At 43.4% G+C, this 24,236-nt stretch overlaps 1 protein-coding gene across 4 annotated transcripts in view, besides 2 other annotated features; it reads left to right on the top strand.

The window, feature by feature from the left end:
• The window catches only part of FAT1 (FAT atypical cadherin 1), a 138,903-nt gene extending 136,541 nt beyond the window's left edge, over positions 1 to 2,362 (top strand). For all 4 annotated transcript variants that reach the window (NM_001440455.1, NM_001440456.1, NM_005245.4 and 1 more), the window contains one exon: positions 936 to 2,362. In NM_001440455.1, coding sequence (NP_001427384.1) covers positions 936 to 1,564 — 629 coding nt within the window. In that variant the 3' untranslated portion in view covers positions 1,565 to 2,362. The remainder of the gene's footprint in view (positions 1 to 935) is intronic.
• Positions 814 to 2,013: an enhancer, noted in NCBI's record as "BRD4-independent group 4 enhancer chr4:187509297-187510496 (GRCh37/hg19 assembly coordinates)". NCBI's record gives its function as "activates an origin of replication core promoter dependent on BRD2, P300/CBP, MED14 and CDK7 cofactors, and independent of BRD4, by STARR-seq in HCT116 cells {active_cell/tissue: HCT116}" and the evidence as "EXISTENCE:reporter gene assay evidence [ECO:0000049][PMID:35650434]".
• Positions 5,087 to 5,256: an enhancer, noted in NCBI's record as "experimental_76785 CRE fragment used in MPRA reporter constructs". NCBI's record gives its function as "activates a minimal promoter by MPRAs in K562 erythroleukemia cells, with activity observed for the introgressed 4:187506139 variant allele {active_cell/tissue: K562}" and the evidence as "EXISTENCE:reporter gene assay evidence [ECO:0000049][PMID:34662402]".

Here is a 24,236-nt window from a genome sequence, read left to right as displayed (position 1 = left end):
AAAAACTATTCCAAAATTGGAAGTTTTTTTTTAAAATAGTGGTGCTTTATATAGTCTAAAAGGATCACAGTCCTTTTGGAAGTAACACAGATTGATTGTTACAGTGTATCAGAGGCTGTGTTATAATCTTGCAACGCTTGTTCAATTGTATTTTGCTTGAATTGGCATGCTTTGATACATACCTATATTAAGTTAATTTGTTGTCTGAGGGTTAATGAAAAATAGTAATTTTAATATTAAACTTGCTACATTATTATGAAGGAAGCTTATTTTCTAAACTTTAGCATGTTAAAGGTTACTTTTATTACTTTAAAAAGTTGCATTGGCTGGGCCTGATGGCTCACACCTGTAATCCCAGCACTTCGGGAAGCTGAATTGGCAAGATTGTTTGTGGCCAGGAGTTTAAGACCAGCCTGGGCAACATAGTGAGACCCTGTCTCTATAAAAAATAGAAATGCAAAATTTTTTTAAGTTGCATTAATCAGTATTTTTTTAATGAGAAGTAGTGCAGATCAAGTGACACTGGATATTTCACTAATGTCCTGAGACTGGATCAGTACTCTTCTTCCTACAGAGCAGTGGGTTCTACAGAAGAAAAGCCAGAAGGATGGTTAGAATCATTTGTAGAAAAATGTATATAATTTAGATGCTAGCATCCCATTTCTCTTAGGACTCCTTTTGTTTCCTTGAATGTTAGTTGCGTACATAAAACTGTAAGTCCACATTTTAGAACTAGAGCCTAGTTCATAGGGGTCTTTAAACTGGAGTGGGTTGGGGGATGTCTTCAAAGCAAAGACGAGGAATTTCCAGTGGTGAACTTTGAATGAAGGCATAAATGCGGTTGCATCTTTGTGTCTTTGATACACTGAGCTCTCTTTCCATGGCACAAAAGCTTAGGAGAAAACACACTGACATCTGTTTTCTTTTCCACCAAGGGTATCACTGGGATACATCAGATTGGATGCCAAGCGTTCCTCTGCCGGACATACAAGAGTTCCCCAACTATGAGGTGATTGATGAGCAGACACCCCTGTACTCAGCAGATCCAAACGCCATCGATACGGACTATTACCCTGGAGGCTACGACATCGAAAGTGATTTTCCTCCACCCCCAGAAGACTTCCCCGCAGCTGATGAGCTACCACCGTTACCGCCCGAATTCAGCAATCAGTTTGAATCCATCCACCCTCCTAGAGACATGCCTGCCGCGGGTAGCTTGGGTTCTTCATCAAGAAACCGGCAGAGGTTCAACTTGAATCAGTATTTGCCCAATTTTTATCCCCTCGATATGTCTGAACCTCAAACAAAAGGCACTGGTGAGAATAGTACTTGTAGAGAACCCCATGCCCCTTACCCGCCAGGGTATCAAAGACACTTCGAGGCGCCCGCTGTCGAGAGCATGCCCATGTCTGTGTACGCCTCCACCGCCTCCTGCTCTGACGTGTCAGCCTGCTGCGAAGTGGAGTCCGAGGTCATGATGAGTGACTATGAGAGCGGGGACGACGGCCACTTCGAAGAGGTGACGATCCCGCCCCTGGATTCCCAGCAGCACACGGAAGTCTGACTCTCAACTCCCCCCAAAGTGCCTGACTTTAGTGAACCTAGAGGTGATGTGAGTAATCCGCGCTGTTCTTTGCAGCAGTGCTTCCAAGCTTTTTTTGGTGAGCCGAATGGGCATGGCTGCGCTGGATCCTGCGCCTCTGGACGTGCTAGCCATTTCCAGTGTCCCAACTACTGTCATCGTGAGGTTTTCATCGGCTGTGCCATTTCCCAACGTCTTTTGGGATTTACATCTGTCTGTGTTAAAATAATCAAACGAAAAATCAGTCCTGTGTTGTCAGCATGATTCATGTATTTATATAGATTTGATTATTTTAATTTTCCTGTCTCTTTTTTTTGTAAATTTTATGTACAGATTTGATTTTTCATAGTTTTAACTAGATTTCCAAGATATTTTGTGCATTTGTTTCAACTGAATTTTGGTGGTGTCAGTGCCATTATCTAGCACCCTGATTTTTTTTTTTTTACTATAACCAGGGTTTCATTCTGTCTTTTTCCACTGAAGTGTGACATTTTGTTAGTACATTTCAGTGTAGTCATTCATTTCTAGCTGTACATAGGATGAAGGAGAGATCAGATACATGAACATGTCTTACATGGGTTGCTGTATTTAGAATTATAAACATTTTTCATTATTGGAAAGTGTAACGGGGACCTTCTGCATACCTGTTTAGAACCAAAACCACCATGACACAGTTTTTATAGTGTCTGTATATTTGTGATGCAATGGTCTTGTAAAGGTTTTTAATGAAAACTACCATTAGCCAGTCTTTCTTACTGACAATAAATTATTAATAAAATACTTGAGCTTTATGCCTCTTTTTCCTTCCCATTGATACTCCTGTTCAGGATTCAGTGGCTGAGATAGAAGAATGGATGAATGGAAGGGTGGATATTGATGTATTTGCTTTTAGTGGACAAGGCGTAAATGTGAAAATCCTCTCTACCCTGACCAAAAGCCCTGCTGTCCAAGCGGAGCCAGCCACCAGGTGGCAGTATATAGCTACTTGATACGGCTCAAAACTATAGCCACAAAAGTAAAAAGCATAACTTTTTAATATTTTTAAACAAAACCAAGAAAATTTTATACATTTTTAATTAGTATGAATTTATTGGTTGTAATTTTAATGCTTACATGTTTTTCACCTTTGTCAATGTTTTATATCAAAAACAGTCTCTGTGAAGCATTATACCTTTCTGTTGTCAACTTACACAGTACTGTATGATTTAATGTGAGATCCAGAAGCTATTTTTTATATATTTTTATACAGTCAAAATCCATCCCTACTTCCAACACATTTATTGAGTACTTACTATATGCCACTATGATATGAATGACAAACAATTAAGCTTTCTTAGAACTTTGGAGAAACATGTTTTCCCTTTAAGTAAATGCCTTTTTATCAAATAATATAAATACATAGTTTAAAAACATCAAAGAGAGCTAAAATATATATAATAAAACAGCAGTCCCATGCAACCTGCTGTACCCAGTTACAACTCCTTAAGCTGTTTTTCTCATTCTTCCTTTCATATTTTCAAATGTATATATTATTCTTTCTTGAGTCACTAAATTTAGAAATTGCCTGTTGACTCCCTATGATGTTGGAGGAAGACCATGTAACCTAATAGACCTCCACTGATCTTGTTTTCCTACCATTAGTTATAATTTTTGGATTAATCCATATACAGCGTTTCCATTATTTTGATTATGTAAGTATTCACTGCTGTGCCAAGCAGTATATGATGTTTATTTTCATTTACTTAGCAACTTTCTTTTTTTAACAATTGTCTTTTTATTTTACTCATTTTTTAAACTTGTGACTATTCATGTATTCAGAAAACATTTTCCCTCAATAATACTATATTATTTTGCCTGAACAGACAGACAAAAGTCCTCCGTCATCTTGGAATTTACATTTGGTGGGGACAGGTGGTAGGAGGAGATGATCAGGAGATACATGGTAGTGTTTATAGTAGTGAGTGCTGAGGAGAGAGACTGTGATTGAGGAAGGAATGTGTGAGATTGTGATGGGAAGGGACGGGGAAGGGGTTGTGATGGGAAGGGACATTCTGAGAAGACAGGAGGCCTCAGTGGCAAGCGGCATTTGAGTCCAACCTTGAAGTTGATGAGGAAGAATACCACGTGGTTTCTCTGAGAACTGTTCCAGGCAGACAGATTAGCTGCTACTGTAAAGGGAGGAGTGTGAGAACGCCCAAGAAAAACACAAGTGCAGCCTGTCATGTACATGGTCACAGCAGGAAGTCTGTCCGCTCCTTTTTTTCCCTTGGACATTCTCCTCAGGGAACCCCTCGGCTTGGTGGCCCAGACTCCATTTTTTTGTTCTCTTCGGCATCTATAGTTGTTGTTCCGGAATATTCTCCTTACCATGGACTCTGTAATTTTCTCTTGGCCTAACTCTTGTTTTGATAGAGCATATCCTGTTATTGTCTGAGAAAGAGTTGCATGGGAAGTAATTTTTTGTGACTGTGTTTCTGAAAGTGTCTTTATTCTACTCTTGATAGATTGGGTGTAGGTTTCTGGTTTGGAGGTAAATTACATTCAGAATCTTGAAGTCATGGAACCCACTGTCTTCCAGCTTCAAATGTTAACATTGAAAAGTCCAGTGTTGTTCCTAGTCCCAGTTCATTATTCGTGGCCTAATATGACTCTCACAAATCTTTGGGGATATTCTTCTGGGGACATGCTACTTCTCTACAACATTGTGAGATTTCCTGCTGCTGTGTCTTGGCGTGGGCCTTTTCCAGGGATTGCTACTCCGTTTTTAATGAAAATCCACGTTGTGGGGACTGTTCTTGTGTTATTTCTTTGATCATTTCTTCCCTTCTGCTTTCTCAGTTCTTCGTTTAATTCTCAAAGGAGGTGATCTCAGTTCTCTTGTCAAGACTCATAACTATAGGTTGCTTGACTTGCTAAATTCTCTCATTTTTTGATTGAACTCCTATTGTCCATCTTTGTCTTATTCCCCTTCTGGGATTCATTCCACTTTTATCTTCTGTTCCTTCTGTTACCAGTTTTATTTCTGCTGTCATTTTTAATGTTTAAGAGACTGGTCTGGTCCTGACTGTCCCTTTTCTATATTACACAGGCATTTGTTCCTGTTTCGAAGCTCCCTAGTATCTCATTTTTGCTAAATGTATTTTAGAATAAGTCCTTCCATTTTGCCTGGTTTTCCCCTGGACGGCTTTTAAATATTCCTTTCAGGAGGGCTTGCTCCCCTTTCACCTTGCAGGCTTTCCTCTTGCTTGACTTGAGCCTAATGAGGCACCCAAGCTGACAGAAAGCCATGACTGTGCTCCTTAGCTCCTGGACTTCTCTGTGACATTGTGGGCCAGCTTGCTTTGTCCGTTTCTTTGTCTTATCTTTGAAGAGTTTCAGTTTCTCCCGAGGAAGGACCTTCTGTTTCCAGCCTGGGAAATATCATTGCTCTTATTTTGAAATTGGCCAGATAAGGGGACTGGAGATTTGTCATTCCCTTAGTCCTCTAGTTCTGGGTTACGAGAACATTCCTGCTTCTTTCTCTTTGTCTATTTCATCATCGAGGCGGCTCAGGATAGAGCTGAGAATCTGCATTCTAACAGCTTGAACACCGTTCAGACAGCATCCCTGCCACTCACCCCATTCTTCATTACCTTCCATGTGTGACAAAGGGGCCTGTTCCCATGGCCTCCAGGCTCTGCTGCCCGATCCTTGCATCTGCTGTAGCGTGGTTTACAGTTAACAACGCCTCTTAAAAGCATTGAAAATGGAATTGCTTTTTAACTTTTTCCCCCATTTCCTGTTTCAGATTCATTTTCCTTTTTTAAAATAATGTTTTATTTACTTAAACAGTTATTGTTTGATTGATTTTCAGGAGAAGAAGGGGCAGAATGTAGCCCTCCGCCATCTGAACCTGGAAGTCCGGAATGTGCTCACACCACCGGTTTCCAGTGTTTGGAAGAACATTGGGGTATCAGTGTTCTGTTGCTCCACAGCACATGGCCGTACATTTAGTGGCTTAAAATTACCCCCATTTATTACTTCTCATTGCATAGATCAAAACCCCCGGGCATGGCATGGCCAGGTTTTCTGCTCAGCTTCTCACAGGCTGGAATCAAGCTGTCAGCTAGGCTGTGGTTTCATCTGAGGCTGGGGAGCTCACGAGGCTCTTGGTAGAATTCAGTCCCTTGCACTTGTAGAACTGGTCTCATTTTCTTGCTAACTGTACTTGCTAACTGTAGGACAGAGGTTCCCTGTTTCTTGCTGGCTGTCCCCACTTTTTTTTTTTTTTTTTTTTTTTGACATGGAGTCTGGCTCTGTCGCCCAGGCTGGAGTGCAATGGCACAATCTTGGCTCACTGCAACCTCTGCCTCCCAGGTTCAAGCCGTTCTCCTGCCTCAGCCTCCCAAGTACCTGGGATTACAGGCACGCGCCACCGTACCCAGCTAATTTTTGTATTTTTAGTAGAGATGAGGTTTCACCATGTTGCTCAGGCTGGTATTGACCTCCTGACCTCAGATAATCCACCTGCCTCAGCCTCCCAAAGTGCTGGGATTACAGGCGTGAGCCACCGCGCCCAGCCCGTCCCCACTTTCTTGACAGCTTCTCTTGAGTCAGGTCCTAGCTCCTTAGCCCTCTCACATGTAGCTACATCTTCACCTGCTTCCTGATCTCAGGAACGGCCTGATCCCTTTTTAAAGGCTCATGTGATTTGGTCAGGTGCTCACTCAGGACATCAAGTCTCACTTTGAGTAACTAAAAGTCAGCTGGTTAGTAACCTAGCCATGGGAATTCCCATCACATTCACAAGTCCCATTCACCTTCGGGGGGGAATTACACCATGTACCCAAGGACAGGGATGGGTTCTTTGAGGCCATCTTAAACTTCTACCTACCAAAACTGGCACTATTCGTTAGTTCTTGGTTTTATTTATTTATTTTTTTTTTTTGAGACGGAGTTTTGCTCTTGTTGACCAGGCTAGAGTGCAATGGCATGACCTTGGCTCACCACAACCTCTGCCTCCAGGATTCAAGCGATTCTCCTGCCTCAGCGTCCCGAGTAGCTGGGATTACAGGCATGTACTGCCACGCCCGGCTAATTTTGTATTTTTAGTAGAGACAGGGTTTCTCCATATTGGTCAGGCTGGTCTTGAACTCCTGACCTCAGGTGATCCACCTGCTTCGCCCTCCAAAATTGCTGGGATTACAGGCATGAGCCACCATGCCTGGCCAGTTCTTGTTCTTTTTCTAAGGGATAATTCCCTTATTTAGCAGAATCATTTTTAAGAAGTTTAAGGTTTTAAAATGCCTAAACATAAATATTATAAAAGATTTAAATATCTTTAATCCCTTGGGGGAAATGGGGAAATGTTGGTTAAAGGTTACAAACTTTCAATTACAAGAGGAACGAGTTCTGATGTCCCTGGGTTTCACCTGGATTCTATGAGACACGCACACACTAGATTTCAAAACCACTTACTATTTGTCACAATCTTTATTTGGTACCCTTGGAAATTATGGTTCAGCTTAAAGGAAGAGATATACAGAAAAAAGTCTAGTAAGTATTTAAACTTTTAAATTTCTATTTTTCTTAATTCTACCTCTAAAATTTAGGGGGTTTTTTGTTTTTGTTTTTGTCTGTCTGATGCGAAGAATCAATTGAAGTGATTGTGCTTATCACGTTCATTTTTATTCTAGAGTGTGTGGAGCCATCCTACTCAACCTGCTGAAAAGTGAGGTAGACTTTCCCAGTGCCCAGAAACAGCAAATGTTTTTCCAGAAGCTGTATTAGCCTCTGGGGGCCACTTTTTATTGGGGGAGCCCACCCCCAATATTTCAACATAGGTTCTTTCTATTTTCCGTAAGTGTCGGCTGGCTGAGAAATAGAGACAGTACAAAGAGAGGAATGTTACAGCTGGGCCACCGGGGTGACATCACATTTCGGTAGGACCGTGATGCCCGCCTGAGTCTCAGACCAGCAAGTTTTTATTATGGGTTTCAAAAGGGGAGGGGGCGTAAAACAGGGAGTAGGTACAAAGATCACATGCTTCAAAGGGCAAAAAGCAGAACTACTAATAAGGGTCTAACAAAGATCACATGCTCCTGAGGGAACAGGACAAAGGGCAAAAGCAGAACCACTGATGAGGGTCCATGTTCAGCAGTGCCTGTATGTCTTGATAAACATCTTAAACAACAGAAAACAGGGTTCAAGAGCAGAGAACTGGTCTGACCACAAATTTACCAGAGTGTAGTTTTCCCAACCCTAGTAAGCCTGAGGGTACGTCAGGAGACCAGGGCGCATCTCAGTCCTTATCTCAACCGCATAAGACAGACATTCCCAGAGCGGCCATTTATAGACCTCCCTCCAGGAATGCATTCCTTTCCCAGGGTACTAATATTAATATTCCTTGCTAGAAAAAGAATTTAGCGATATCTTCCCTACTTGCACGTCCATTTATAGGCTCTCTGCAAGAAGAAAAATAGGGCTTTTTTTGCCTGACCCCACAGGCAGTCAGACCTTATGGTTATCTTCCCTTGTTCCCTAAAAATCGCTGTTACTCTGTTCTTTTTCAAGGTGCACTGATTTCATATTGTTCAAACACACGTTTTACAATCAATTTATACAGTTAACACAATTATCACAGTGGTCCTGAGGTGATGTATATCCTCAGCTTATGAAGATAACAGGATTAAGAGATTAAAGTAAAGGCAGGCATAAGAAATTATAAAACTAGTATTTGGGAACTGATAAACGTCCATGAAATCTTCACAATTTATGTTTCTCTGCTGTGGCTCCAGCTGGTCCCTCCGTTCGGGGTCCCTGACTTCCCGCAACAACTTTTAATGCACAGAAGCATTAAAAGTGGATGCTACCTCAGTCTGAATGCACTTTTGCAAAGAAACTAAGCATTAGCCTAGGAAATAAGGGACTCATTCTAAAAAGATAGCGATTGAAGAAGGCTGCACCCACGTACACATTGCTAATGTGGGTGACATGAACTCAAAAGTTTCAGTTTACCTCTTTTAATGAAAGCACTGGAATAAGCTCTTGGAAAGCAGGGCTTTGAGTTGCCAAATGAACTGTCATAGAACTTCACCTACTTTAATGCTGGTATTAATTGATAACTCAAAATCGGGGCTGGGCATGGTGGCTTATGCCTGTAATCCCAGCACTTTGGGAGGCCAAGGTGAAACGATCACTTGTGGCTGGGAGTTCAAGACAGCCTGGGCAATGCAGTGAGACCCCATCTCTAGTAGAACTTTAAAAATTAAATTTTAAAAAATAGCTGTAATCCTCAGACATACAGGAATCAGGGCTAGCTATTATTTTAAAAAAAATAGGGTATCAACAGGGATTAGGAGAAACTGAACATCTGGATTCTTTGATACCTAAGAGTGTAGGGAACTTGGCAAATAAACCAAGCTATGAAATGCCACCTCCCAGGAGCTGCCACAAGCTTACAGGTTAGCTTTAGGATGTTTCAAGTGCAACACCAAGATGCAATCTGAAGTCCTTAGTTTCGAGATGGGGTGGGGAAAAATTAGTCTCACCATCCCCTGCTAAAAAGAGAAGGAAGGATATTGTTGGAACTGAGGTGACAGGAGTGGAGGAGGGTTGGGGGAGGACAGTTGGGGACATGATGGCAGGGCTGCAGGAAGGGAGGTGGCATCCACTCTGCACAGGGCTCAGCCAATGTGAGCAAATGAAAGGCCATTAAAGCTGCATCACAGGAATGCATGGCTGCTTGCTAAAGTCAGTGGCAAGTTAAGCCAAGAATGTTGCAGACAGAGAATGCATTCTCATGTCATCTACTTGGGTGCATTCAGTGGGAAGGCTTGTTGGCATGTTCATTCCTGCATGCATCTAGCAGGTGTTCGCTGAACCTTCACCCTGGGCCACACTCCCTTCCCTGACCTCTCTCTTCCTGGTGTCTTCAAATAATCTGGGGATAAATCTCTTATTAAGCAGAATTGTTTTTTTTTTAAGTTTAGAGTTCTAAAATGTCTAAATATAAGCATTATAAGAGATTTAAATCTCTAATCTGTTGTGGTAATGGGGCAATGTTGGTTAAAGGATAAGATGAGCAGGTTCTAATGTACAGCATAACGATTATAGTTAGTAATAATGCATACTTGACATTTACCGAGAGAGTAAATCATAAGTGTGTTCCCCACGGAAAAAAGGTAATTATGGGAGGGGATGGATATGCTAATTAGACAGATTATGTAATCATTTCACAATGTATATGCATATCAAATCATCACATGGTACACCTTAAATACATACAATTTTCATTTATCCATCATACCTTAATAAAGTTGGGGAAAAATAAGCTCCCCAGAGTTAAACTCCCCAATGACAGGGAAAACCCCAGCTTCCTTCCACTGCTTTGTAGCATTTCTGCTTCCAGGAGATGATACGAAACTACCTCAAAAAGGCACATGGATTTCAGACAGTCCCCTTCATATCTCAGGATTTCATTCCTGGTTCTTCACAGTTTCTTTCTGTTCAAATCACTAGACACCACTGGAACAGGTGCATCTTCTCTTCATTTTGTCAGTCATCTGCACTAGAAGGAAGTCCTTCACGGTGTTGTATATATTTTAATTTTTTAAAAAAGGACATCCGTACTGTATTCCCAACCATGTAAGTTACAGGTATAGAAAGTAGAAATGAAATGATTAGACACATTTTCTTAAGATTTCTGGGATACAAGCAATCCTACATTTTAAAACTGCCATCGAATACATTATCACGTTTTTATTTTTATGTTTTATTTTATATTTAAGTTGAAAAAAGTAAACTATTTTGAAAAAATAGTTATAATCATATCACCCAGGAACACTATTTTGCATGCAATGATCTGATTTTATTTTCTGAGTGCGGTTTACAAAATCCGTATCTTGTATCAAATTTTGTGCCCTGCTTTTCTCACTTTAAAGTATGTGTCCTTTTCAGAAAAATTCCATTTTAAAGAGCTGTATACTATTTCATAGCATGAATTTACTATAACTTATTTACCTATTTTATTTTGCTACTTTGAAGATTTTTTTAATTTTTTCACAACAATGACATCTTTGTATATTCATTTTTGTTCCTCTTCCAGACGGATTTATAGATATGTGGATTATTTGTTTTCAAAGTATTACCTATAAGATAACAAAATTCTAGAACGGCAGCACTGGAACTCTGACAGGATTGTGTTCAGATTTCCTTAACACTGATGTAGTCCTCTGCTGTTACTTCATGCCAATGTTTTCCCCACCTCTTCCATGTCATGGCATACATAGAAAACTTTTTTATGGCATCGTGGATGACATAAAGGCCCTAGGCTGCTCTAAACCAGAGATTTCAGAGTGGTATGCTTACAGTGAGCTCCTCCCAACCGCCCAGCCCGGAGGGCTGGAGCACCAGGCTCTGTGCACAGCAGCTCTGCTATAGACAGCTCTGGATAATCCTGCCTCCCTGTCTCTTCCTGTGAATTTCTTTTTCTTTCTTTCTGAGACGGCATCTCACTCTGTCCCCCATGCTGGAGTGCAATGGCGCTATCTCAGCTCACTGCAACTTCCACCTCTTGGGTTCAAGTGATTCTCTTGCCTCAGACTCCCAAGTAGCTGGGATTACAGGCATGCACCACTACACCCAGCTAATTTTGTATTTTTAGTAGAGACAGGGTTTCACCATGTTGGCCAGGCTGGTCTCGAACTCCTGACCTTAGGTGATCCACCCGCCTCGGCCTCCCAAAGTGCTGTGATTACAGGCGTGAGCCACTGTGCCTGGCCTTTTTTTTTTTTTTTTTTTTTTTTTGAGGCAGAGTCTTGCTCTGTCACCCAGGCTGGAGTGCAGTGGTGCAATCTCAGCTCACTGCGACCTCCGCCTCCGGGGTTCAAGCGATTCTCGTGCCTCAGTCTCCGAGTAGCTGGGATTACAGATGCCTGCCACCACGCCTGGCTAATTTTTATATTTTTAGTAGAAACCGGGTTTCACTATGTTGACCAGGTGGGTCTTGAACTCCTGACCTTGGGTGATTCGCCTGCCTCGGCCTCACAAAGTGTTGAGATTACAGGCGTGAGCCACTGCGCCCAGGCCTGTGAATTTTTTCCATGAAAAACAAAGTCTAAACCAGAATGGAATCGTCTTTGTGAAATTTGCTCTAATATGGATTCAATTTTCAGTGACAGGGGTAAATGTAAGGCTTAGGTTTGCTGTCCATCAGGCCCACTGGAAAACCCTCCCGCCCCCCACGCGCCACCTCCCGTCCTCTTCTGGTTGATGGGCTCCCCTGTCGCCGCAATCCCCACTTTGACTCAAGTCTACTGCATTGGGTCAGTAGCTTTCTGAAGGTCAACGCGGCTGCTCTTTCTCTTTGGCCGACTGGCGTTCCCTATACGTTCTGACAGCTCTTCGTGAAAGGCGTTAGGCTCCATTTCAATTAGTGCACCGGCGGGGGGAGAGCTGTTTGTCAGAATCTAATTTCCTCGCTAGCAGTTTACTGCCTTTACCGCAAACAGAACGAGCCACTTGAATAGAATGGCAAGTATTTTTTTTTCCCCAAGCAAATCTCTGCTCATGTGAACACTTAGGCAATTACTGCACTTGTCACTGTGCCGTTAAAGTGTGGGTGTGTAGGAGCTGCATTTTCCAGTGATGCCAGACTTGAAGAGAAAGAGCGTGTGTGACACATTTGAATGAAAATGTCATCACACCAAGTATATCCTGTAGGGAGCTAACAGTGCAGGTCTCTATAGAAGAGATGTTAAATATGAGCTCAGGCCTGGCTCAGTGGCTCATGCCTGTAATCCCAGCACTTTGGGAGGCCACGGCGGGCGGATCACCTGAGGTCGGGAGTTCAAGACCAGCCTGGCCAACATGGGGAAACCCCGTGTCTACCAAAAATACAAAAATTAGCTGGGCGTGATGACGCATGCCTGAAATCCCAACTACTTGGGAGGCTGAGGCAGGAGAATCACTTGAACCTGGGAGGCAGAGGTTGTAGTGAGCCAAGATAGTGCCTCTACCCTCCAGCCTGGGTTACAGAGTAAGACTCTGTCTCAAAACAAACAAAAAAGATAAATATGAGCTCAGATTCCTAAATTCCAAGCATTATCCAATTATCTCAAGGGATAAAATAAAATTCTCAAAATGTCTAATGACTATCACTTTGCTTCATTTTTTTGTTTGTTTGTTTCTTTGTTTTGAGACAGAGTCTCACTCTGTCACCCAGGCTGGAGTGCAGTGGCATGATCTCGGCTCAGTGCAGCCTCTGCCTCCCGGGTTCAAGCAATTCTCCTGTCTCCTCCCTAGTAGCTGGGACTACAGGCACGCACCGCCATGCCCGGCTAATTTTTTGTATTTTTTTTTTTTTAGTAGAGACAGGGTTTCACCATCTTGGACAGGATGGTCTTGATCTCCTGACCTCGTGATCCACCTGCCTCAGCCTCCCAAAGTGCTGGGATTACAGGCATGAGCCACCATGCCCGGCCACTTTGCTTTGTTTTAATGTTCATGAGCTCTACCTAAGTTTCAGCATAAGGGGAGAATATGGAGAGAGGAACAAGGGCTGGCCCCGGAGGCTGTGTGGGCTCTTCCTGCCTGTCAGCCTTGGAAGCACAGTTCCACGTCTTTGTCAAGTTCGAAATGTTAGCCCACCTGCCAAGTAGGATTACAAACGCATTTTTAAATGATGCTCTTGTTTTGTGATTGGTGTTCTTAAAATTTTAATTTGAAATGAGTATTTTTCTCTTCTTTTGAAAGAAGAGAAAGTATACTTTTTAAAATTATACCTATTTAAGGTATATGTGATGTTTATTTACATATACACACAAACACGTAGAAGTTTACTTCAGTCAAGCAAATGACATGTGCACCGTTTCACATAGTTACCCTTTTTGGTGTGTGTGGTGAAAGTACCTAAATTCTACTCTCTTACTAAATTTCCAGCATACATGATGATTTGGATGTGTGTCCCCACCAAACCTCACATTAAATTGAACACTTCATTGTTGGAGGTGGGGCCCGGTAGGTCATTGGACCGTGGGGGTGGAGTTCTCGTGACTGCTTTAGTACCGTCCGCCCCACACCCCACCCCCGGGTACTGTACAGGGAGTTCTCTCAACATCTGGCTGTTTAAGTGTGTGTAGCACTTCCCCCCTTTCTGTATTCCTCCTGCTCCAGCCGTGTGAGAAGCCTGCTCCCCCTTCCCCTTCCACCATGACTGGAAGCTTCCTGAGGCCTCCCAAGAAGCAGAAGCTGCCATCTTCCTGTACAGCCGGCAGAACCATAAACCTGTTAAACCTCTTTTCTTTATCAATCACCCAGTGCCAGGTTCCTTTAGAGCAATGCAAAAACTGACTGATACACATGACAATATTATTCACTGCAGTCTTAGCATTCTTCACATCTCCAGGCTTATTCATCCTACATAGTGGACACTTTCTACACTTCAATCTCCATCTCCTCAATTCCCGCCACCACCCCCACCCCCCTTATTTTGCTTATTTTGCAAAATGTCCTCAGGTTAATTATAAATTATATTATAAATCACAGAATCTCCTTTTGTATAGCTGAAAAAAATATTCTAATGTGTACACATACCACAGTTTCTTTGTCCATTCATCCATCAATGGCCCCACGGGTTGTTTACATATCTTGGCTCTTAGGAATCCTGCTGTGATAAACAGGGGTACCGATATTTTCATGAGGTGGTGATGTCATTTTGCAAAGAGGGATTGCTGGGTCGGGGCCACATACTGTTTTCCTTAATGGCCGCACCAATCTACAGTCTCACCAGCAGCGAACCAGGGTTCCCCTTTCTACACACCCTCACCGACATTTGTGATCTCCTCTTTTTTATCATAGCCATTCTAACAAGGGCTCATGTGGTTGTAATTTGCATTTCCTTCATGATTAGAGGTGTTGAGTACCTTTATCATATACCCGTTGGCTGTTTTTATTTCTTCTTTGGAGAAATGTCTATTTAGGTTCTTTGCCTTTTTTTTTTTTTTTTGAGATGGAGTCTCGCTGTTGTCGGCAGGGGCTGGAGTGCAGTGGTGCGATCTCGGCTCACTGCAACCCCCACCTCCCGGGTTCCAGCAATTCTCCCACCTCAGCCTCCTGAGTAGCTGAGATTACAGGCACCCACCACCTCACCTGGCTAATTTTTGTATTTTTAGTAGACACAGGGTTTCACCATTTTGGCCAGGCTGGGCTCGAACTCCTGACCTCATGTGATCCACCCCCACCACCTTGGCCTCCCATAGTGCTGGGATTACAGGTGTGAGGCACCGCACCCGGCCCTTTGCCCATTTTTAATTGGGTTATTTGGTATTTTGCTACTGAATTGTATGAGTTCCTTATATTTTCCAGATATTAACCCCTTATCCAATATGTGGTTTGCAAATATTTCCTCCCAATCTGTTTGCTGGGTTTTCATTTTGTTGGTTATTTTCTTTGCTGTGCAGAAGCTTTTCAGTTTGATGTAGCCCTACTTACTTAAATATTTTCTCTTTTATTGCCTGTGCTTTTGGTGAGATATCCAAAAAATCCTTGCCAAGTTCAATCTCAAGAAGCTTTCTAGCTATGTTTTCTTCCAGGAGTTTCATGATTTCAGGTCTTACATTTAGGTCCTTAATCCATTTTGAGTTGATTTCGTATATGGTGTAAGATAAGGATGCATTTTCATTCTTTTGCATGTGGATATCCAGTTTTGCCAATACCATTTACTGAAGAGACTATCTTTTTTCCATTGTGTCTTCTTGATTGCTTAAGTATACTTTAAAATAGATACTTTAAATTAGTCTGCACAAAAGAAAATGTTATTCATAAGCCTTATTAAAAACAAATTGTTCTAATTAAATAAACAATGATCAAGATGCAGAAACTTCTCCAACTAAAAGCTCTTATTGGATAGAAATGGTTTTTAATAATAATTTCTTAAAAATGCTGAGTTTTAACTTCTAGTGGGGAATTTCACAAAATTTAAAAATACACAGAGGTCCTTGAAAACAGGTCATACATACCATGTGCTTGGAGCTGTTACCGCTCACACTGAACGCAGGGCGGGCTCTGTGCTTTTTACCAAAATATCAGCGAACTCTGCTGAGTCTGTGCACAGGCTCTGTTCAGTAAGCTTTAGCTGCAGTTCATCCTTGGGCTCTGGTGGCTGAGCCCACGCCAAGTCCCTCTGCTGCACCTGGTGGGGTTCCAGTTTCACCGCTGAGTGACTGTGACCACACCTATGGCTGGGTAGCTGCACAGTCTCTGGGTTTGATTTATTTAATGGATCAAAGTTCAGTCCATTCTCTCTGTTGGTCAGAGTTTTGCATTTTAAAACCATGTACCCTTAGGGTGCACTTTCAAACTCCCAGGCCTTTGGGCACCAGGGGCAGGCAGGGACGGCCGGCTTCAGAGCACACACCTAAGTTCAAAATTGTTGAACTCTGCAGTCTTTTTTTTTTTTTTTTTTGAGACAGAGTCTCGCTCTGTCTTCAGGCTGGAGTGCAGTGGCGCGATCTCGGCTCAGTGTGACCTCCACCTCCCGGGTTCAAGCAATTCTCCTGCCTCAGCCTCCTGAGTAGCTGGGACTACAGACATGCACCACCACGCCCGGCTAATTTTTTTTTTTTTTTTTTTTTTTTTTTAGTAGAGACGGGGTTTCACCATGTTGATCAGGATGGTCTCGATCATCTGGACCTCATGATCCACCCGCCTTGGCCACCCAAAGTGCTGGGATTCCAGGCGTGAGCCACTGCACCCGGCCCACAGTGATTTCTTAGCTGGAGGATGTTGAACCAACTGCTTACCTTCTACTTAACTTAGTTTCCGCAGCTGAAAAGAATATGACTGACACCTCACAGGAGTTTTGTGAGGAATCAATACTAACAATCTCATTGAGAGCTGTTCTCTCTCTCGCTGTTTTTTGTTTGTTTTTTGTTTTTTTGTTTTTTTGTTTTGTTTTGTTTTTTGAGACAGAGTCTCGCTGTGTCGCCCAGGCTGAAGTGCAATGGTGGGATCTTGGCTCACTGCAACCTCCACCTCCTGGGTTCAAGCAATTCTCCTGCCTCAGCCTCCCAAGTAGCTGGAATTACAGGCACCCACCACCACTACCACGCCGGGCTAATTTTTTGTATTTCTTTCCTTTCTTTCTTTTTTTTTTTAAAAAAAAGAGAGACGGGGTCTCACTCTGTGGAGCAGGCTGGAGTGCAGTGGTGCGATCACGGCTCACTGCAGCCTCAAACTCCAGGCCTCAAGCAATCCTCTCACCTCAGCCTCCCAAAGAGTAGCTGGGACTACAGGCATGCACCACCATGCCCAGCTAATTTTTTAAAGTTTTTTTGTAGAGACAGAGGTCTCGCTCTCTTCCCGAGGCTGGTCTCAAACTCCTGCCCTGAAGTGATCCTCCCACCTATGCTTTCCAAAGTGAGCATACTTTGGGAATACAGGCGTGAGCCACTGTGCCTGGCCCTAAGAGAAGTGTTCTTATTGAATGCTCATTACATACTAAGCATTCTACAATTACTAACTTCATCCATCCAGCAACCCTCCTCAATATCCCCATTTCCCAGATCAGGAAATCGAGGCACAGAGAGGATAAGACTTTTTTGAAGGTCACACCAGAGGTCAGTGTTGACACTGAAACTCAAAGCCCTGGCTCTGGCCTCAAAGCCTGTCCCCTCGGGCCTCCTCCCCGGACAGTCCCTTGTGGAGTGAGCCAAAGGGCACCAAGGTAGAGCCCCTCACGCCGGGACTTTTGGCACAAAGTAGATGGGCAATAAATGTTTTATTGTTTTGTTACTGTTTTCCCCCAACCCATCCCAATCTTCAAACATGCATTTCAATAGTTAAATAGTATTAAAGTGCGTCCTAAGAACATTTAGTTTTGTAAGTGCCCTTTGAGAACACGCTGCACGTCAGCATTTTCTAAATGGCTAGTTTAGGTCATTTGAGGAATCATTCGCTAGTCCGGAGGAGCCCTGGCGTCGAATGCTTGTTATTTTCACCCATTCGGTGCGTCCAACACTGGAGACTAGACAGGGTGTGGGGTGTGATGAAGGCTCAGGGTGCTGTTCACAAATGACTGTTCGCAAGTGACTCTTGCTGTTCATTGATTCAAATATTCTTTCTGAGTATGTGCTGTGAAGCATTCTGTTTGCCGTTAGTGAAGGAGGAACCAGGTCGTCCCTGCTCCTTTTTTTTTTTTTTGAGTCGGAGTCTCGCTCTGTTGCCGAGGCTGGGGTGCAGTGGCACGATCTCAGCTCATTGCAAACCCCTGCCTCCCGGGTGCAAGCAATTCTCTGCCTCAGCCTCCTGAGTAGCTGGGATTACAGGCATCCACCACCACGCCTGGCTAATTTTTTTTTTTTCTGTATTTTTAGTAGAGACGGGGCTTCACCATCTTGGCCAAGCTGGTCTTGAACTCCTGACCTCATGATCCACCTGCCTCAGCCTCCCAAAGTGCTGGGATTACAGGCCTGAGCCACCACACCTGGCCTGTCCCTGCTCTTTATGAGGACTAAGATAAAGATGTACAGGGTCAAACTCACCGCTTCCTAGGATAACAGTGAAAAAGAGGCTGGGCATGACCAACTCCATTTTGCTCCTCACCCGCCCTGCCCCGCCCCGCCCCACAGTGATACCATTTAGGTTAACTGCTTTTGCTGATCCCTGCACATAGGCCAAGCTCACTATGGGAGAAACTGAGTGTACAGTTTAACTTTAAGGCAAGGATGATAGCAGTCCCTTCCCCTAACTAACCCACGCAGAGATAAGGAGGGCCACACAAGTAGCAATGTTATGTTAAGGGTTTACAGGTGCACTGTGGCCTGACCAGGGACAAAGAGGCTTCACAACCGCCTTGGACCCTTGCTAGTGTCCAGATGTCTGTGGTCATCGGTCACCTCTTGACCTCAACTCCCTCCCTCTTCTCCCTTGCCCTAACATAAAAGGAGCCTGAAAATTTGCATTCCCTCCAGATGGTTCTTTAGGACACTAATCTGTCGACTTCTTGGTTTGCTGGCTCTTCCAAATAAAGTTGCCTTCTGTGCCCCAGTACCTTGCCTTCCAACTTATTGGCTGTCACGCAGACAGCAGTGCCACAGCCTGGACTTGACTCCCCTAGCCCATGCCCTCATTTTCTCACCAGCTTCATTTCACAGAATAAAAATCTCTCTCCCTGCCTGGCGTGGTGGCTCACGCCTGTAATCCCAGCACTTTGGGAGGCCGAGGCGGGTGGATCACAAGGTGAGGAGATTGAGACCATCCTGACTGACACGGTGAAACCCCGTCTCTACTAAAAATACAAAAAATTAGCTGGGCATGGTGGCACGGGCCTGTAGTCCAGCTACTTGAGAAGCTGAGGCAGGAGAATCACTTGAACCCAGGAGGTGGAGGTTGCAGTGAGCCAAGATCGTGCCACTATGCTCCAGCCTGGGTGACAGAGCCAGACTCCGTCTCAAAACAAAACAAAACAACAACAACCACAACAAATCGCACTCTCCTCTTGGCTCAAAGCACTGGTGCTGCTGAGGCTCACACACTCTTCCTCCCTCTGCGTCTTGTCTCTTCCATTCATTCTTTCATTCACCCAGTTCAGTTTACTTGGTGGGTTGCATTGATAAGGTATTAGTTTAGTCTGTGCCCTTTGTTATGCCCTGTGCACATAAAAGTGAACAAAACTTGCTTAGTAGCAGTCATGGCCTTTAACTGAGAAAGAATCGTTTGCTATGGTCAGGGAGTTATGTGCTGTGAAGCAACAGGTTTAATAAAAACTGAACTGTGGTGTTTATGGCTTTTTTCTCCCAACTCTTAAAAAGCCCTCACATACGTAAGTGCTGAAGTAACAGTTGCATGTCTGGAGTAGCAGAGAGTCAATCAAAACCGGAAAGTTTTCCTAATCACTTACGAATTTCCTATATGTTAACTCGAAATGAAAGCAGCATGATGCTCATTCAGCCCTGCATTGCTGCAGAACCTCAGGCGGGACAGTAATTGGGGGCAACAGGAATATTTGTAAGTAATTTGCAGTTCCAGATAGAGTAACAGACACAACGTCTGCTCTCATGGATTGCTGATGCTCTCATGCCTTCACAGAAAGGAAATATGAACATAGAGCGAAACCACTCCTCCTTCAGTCAACATGTATAATAGAGGCGAGGTTGATGGGCTTGGAATGTTAACGCGTCGTGGGAGAGGCGGACAGGGAAGTGATTTTCCGTGGGAACTCTGCCGGTAGCGCTGTGCAGGCATCTGTAGCTTGTGCTGAATTTGCATGTGCCGAGCTCCAGATAATGAGTCTCCTTCCCCAGCGCAGACACACACATCGCGATTCAGTTGCTTCTCTGTGTGGGAAACCCCCTAATCCACACACTCGCACTTCCTGGGTCACTAACGTTCAGACGGACTGAAATTTCCCAGAAGTGCCCAGTTTATACCTGATGTGAAATCGCTCACAGAAGGCGGCTTGGGGCCCTAATACAAGCTGTGGACCGACGTCCCTCACTAGGGGTTGAAGATGAGGTCTGAGCCTCTGGGGTTGAACTCGCGGCTCACAAAGTTACTCTGAGGAGGACGCAGCTGCTCTAACCTTTGACAAGTCTCTGCTGCTTTGGCGCAGGGAAATCCCTGATGGCTCTGGGCTGGGGGGGTTCGCTTGTGTGCTGTGTGCACTGCACTTTATCATTTGAGACAGTGAGCAACCCTCACATTTGATTGTGGCACCTTCTCCCTAGATTACAGAAAAAAAAAAGTGTCTTGATGTATTTAACTCTTGTGTTCAGTAATGTCTTTGAGGAGCAGCAAATCCATTTGTAAAGAAATTAATGAGCCCATTTTCCACCTCTACTTGAAAAACAGATCCCTATCTACTGGTGACAGTGACAGATGAGCTCCTTCTCCTGCTGGGACCAGCTTATTCCTTTCCCTGCACTTAAAAAAAAAATTTTTTTTTTGTAAAGGTGGGGTCTTGCTATGTTGCCCAGAGTGGTCTTAAACTCGGGCTCAAGCAATCCTCCCACCTCAGCCTCCTGAGTAGCTAGGAGGACCACCACACCCAGCTAATTTTTAAATTTTTTGTAGAGACAAGGGCCTTGCGATGTTGCTCAGGGTGGTCTCAAACTCCGAGGCTCAAGTGATCCTCCTACCTTGGCCTTCCAAAGTATTGGGTTTACAAGCATGAGTCATCGTGCCCAACCTCCCTGCACCTTTGATGATGGCATACTTCTCTGTTTGAAATAGCACCCACATCCATTTTTTTCTGCCTATCCAAAACTTTATATATTCTTACAATTTAGGAAAAACTTTCCTCAATTTTTTTTTCAGTTTTAAGTACCTATCCAGTTCATCTTTGCTATCAGAAATATGATTATAATACAAACTTTGAAACTTGATCATAAGTTGACTGGCATTCTTTTCTATGTGCTCAAATTGCCTCCCCGAAATCACCAAAAGGCATAAATAGACCCTGCGGTGCCTTCAACTGCCACTATTCTTCAGTGGTGAGTAGGTGAGACTTTGAATCAGAAGGCCAGTCCTAGGACCTTCTCACCAAACCAGCCCTAACTTGCCAATTCCTATTCCAGGCAGTCTGTTTTTACACAAGAATTATGGACACCTGTATTTCATAACCACCATCATAGTGCACATAGTAGGCATGGTACCGAGCTGCTTTGGGCCTGTATTTTTACGTATGTCAATGGGAAAACTTGAATTATTTCTAAGTCACTTTTTTCTGCAGGCAGTGTTTTACTTGGGTTAGTATGAAATGAAACCTTATGAATAACATTAACTATTATTAAAAGATTATTTGTTTTATGGTATATTTAGGTCTTGAAATTAGGGTACATGTATATTTAGTGAAAATATATGTACTTTAAATAAAATTGAAATTCTCATGTTGTTTTATGTCTTCCAGAGGACTTAATGTAGTTCTCTCTTTATAGCAGGCAAGGAAATAAAATCCATGTTAGCTCACTTTGTAATGGAACAAAAAAATTCTTTGGGCCGGGCGTGGTGGCTCATGCCTGTAATCCCAGCACTTTAGGAGGCCAAGGCAGGTGGATCACCTGAGGTCAGGGAGTTCGAGACCAGCCTGGCCAACATGGTGAAACCCTGTCTCTCCTAAAAATACAAAAATTTGTCAGGCGTGGTGGCACGTGCCTGTAATTCCAGCTACTCAGGAGTCTGAGGCACGAGAATGGCTTGAACCTGGGAGGCAGAGGTTGCAGTGAGCTGAGATCACGCCACTCCACTTCAACCTGGGCGACAGAGCAAGACTGTGTCTCAAAAAAATACAAAAAACAAACAACAAAAAAATTCTTTGAGTGAAAAATGTATGTTCTCCTTCCTGCTATTGACTGGAGAAATAAACATGCGGAAAGTGTCTCCAGACTTGAGAGTGACAAACACATTAAAAATCCATGTGCCTGTCAAATAGCATCTTTTTCTGATAAATTAGAAGTTTCCAAATATGATGAAAGACATAATTTCATGAATATTTTGTTATTTTATAGCCACCAGCCAATAATGGATTCATGTATTCTCTCATTTTATTCAACAAGTACTTGTTGGCCACGCATGGTGGCTCACGCCTGTAATCCCAGCATTTTGGGAGGCCAAGGCAGGAGGACTGTTAGAGCCCAGGAGTTTGAAATCAGCCTGGGCAACATAGGTAGACCCATCGCTACATAAAATTTAAAAATTAGTCAGGCTTGCTTGTGTTCGGCTGTGGTCCCAGCTACTTGAGAGGCTGAGGTGAGAGGATCTCTTGAGCCCAAGAGATTGAAGCTGCAGTGAGCCATGATTGCACCACTGCCCTCAAACCTGGGCAACAGAGAGAGACCCTGACTCAAAAACACAAAAGAACAAAACCAAATAATTGTTGGTGTAGGCTGTATGCCAGCTACCGTGTTAAGCACAGGGGATGCAACCGACTACAAGCCCCGACCCCTGCCTAATTGCTGCAGGATTCCAACAAGAAAACAGAGGTATGGTATGGCACGTGGTGAGTGCTAGGATAAAGGACATATAGAGAACTGCAGGGGCACAAAGGAGGAAAACGTAACCAAGACTTGGAAGATGACCTCACACATCAGTTATCCCAGGGGGTAACTGGGGATGGGAAGGGTGTTTCCGGCAGAAGGAACACATATGGGGAAGCTGGGAGGAAGGAGGGAATATGAGGTTTGAAGAACTGGAGAATGTTCACAGTGTTGGAGGGTAGAGCAGGTTCCCTGGGGGAGGGAGAGGATGGGCGGGAGGGATGAGGGTGGCAAGGCTGGGTTATGGAAGGCCTCGGAAAACCTGTGGAATTCGGCTAGAATCCCACCCAGGAGTGATGGGCGTGCATTGACGAGTTTTATGCATGCATGTGGCTGTGCATTTATCTATTTATTTTTATATAAGGGAATATTGTAGTTAGATTTATAATTTTAGAAAAGATTCTTGGCTTTTGAATATATTGAAGGGGAGGAAGATGGGAGCCGGAGGGATTGATTAGGAGGCTGTGATACGAATTTCTGCAAAACATGATGGTGGCCCCAACTTGGTTAGGAGCCCTACGGATGAAGATGAAGCAATGGATTTGAAGCTATTTAAGAGCTAGAATAAACAGATTTGTTCTATTTGGTACAAGAGGTAGAGAAGATTGCAAGACCTAACTTTCACACTAAGCATACCTCTGCAAACTCACACACACGCACAGACACACATGCAAATGCACACATGCACAGACACACACACACAGACACACACGCACAGACACACACGCATCCACCCAAGGAGCTCCTTGTGTAATTTAGAAAATGTTGCCTACACCTCCACTCACATCCCTTCCTATCTTCCCGAGTGATCATTCATGGTGTGATATCAAGGAATTTGCTAACGGCAATTTTTTATCTTCCAAATAAATGCACAAACTAATTAGCATTCTACAGGTTAAATGATAGATCCTCGCTTAGAGTTAAAAAGAAAAAGTGGTTGTAGACCTGAATCACATAAAGTTTGAATTTTAGCAACTGCTGCTTAGCGTGATGCTCTAATTGCAGAGCGAGGGGAGGAATAATGCTGTGTCATTGCGTAGTGAAATTGCCAACCCAAATCCTAAACAGGAAAGTCAATATTTTAGAGGAATGCCAGCCGGCTAATTTAGCTTCTTCGTATATTTTTAAAATAAATGTTATTGTGAATAAGGTATACAGCATGAGGTTATGACATTCATATACACAGTAAAATGGTTACGATAGTGAAGCAAATTAACAGATCCATTATCTCCCACTGGTACCCACGTTTTGTGCATGGCAAGAGCAGCTAGAATCACTCGGCAGAAATCCTGCGTATGACTCAGCATTGTTAACTGTAGTCCTCCTGTTGTACATTAGACCTCTAGGCTTGCTCATCCTATATACCTGCCACTTTTTCATTCATCCCACAAATCTGATTCTTTGACCTACATCTCCCATTTCCTCCTCCTACCCTGCCCCCGGCAACCACTGTTTTATTCCCTATCTCTGTATATTTGACTTTTTTTTTTTTAAGATTCCATATATGAGATCATATAATATTTTTCTATCTGTGCTTGGCTTATTCACTTAGGATGAATCCTCCAGGTTCATCCACATTGTGGCAAATGGCAGGATCTCCTCCTTCTTTAAGGCTGAATAGCATTCATACCTCTATCAACATC

The sequence above is a fragment of the Homo sapiens genome, chromosome 4, assembly GCF_000001405.40.
Source record: "Homo sapiens chromosome 4, GRCh38.p14 Primary Assembly".
Lineage (NCBI taxonomy): Eukaryota > Metazoa > Chordata > Mammalia > Primates > Hominidae > Homo > Homo sapiens.
The sequence above is the reverse complement of the archived record's forward strand: the minus strand, read 5'-3'. Positions and strand labels throughout refer to the sequence as shown.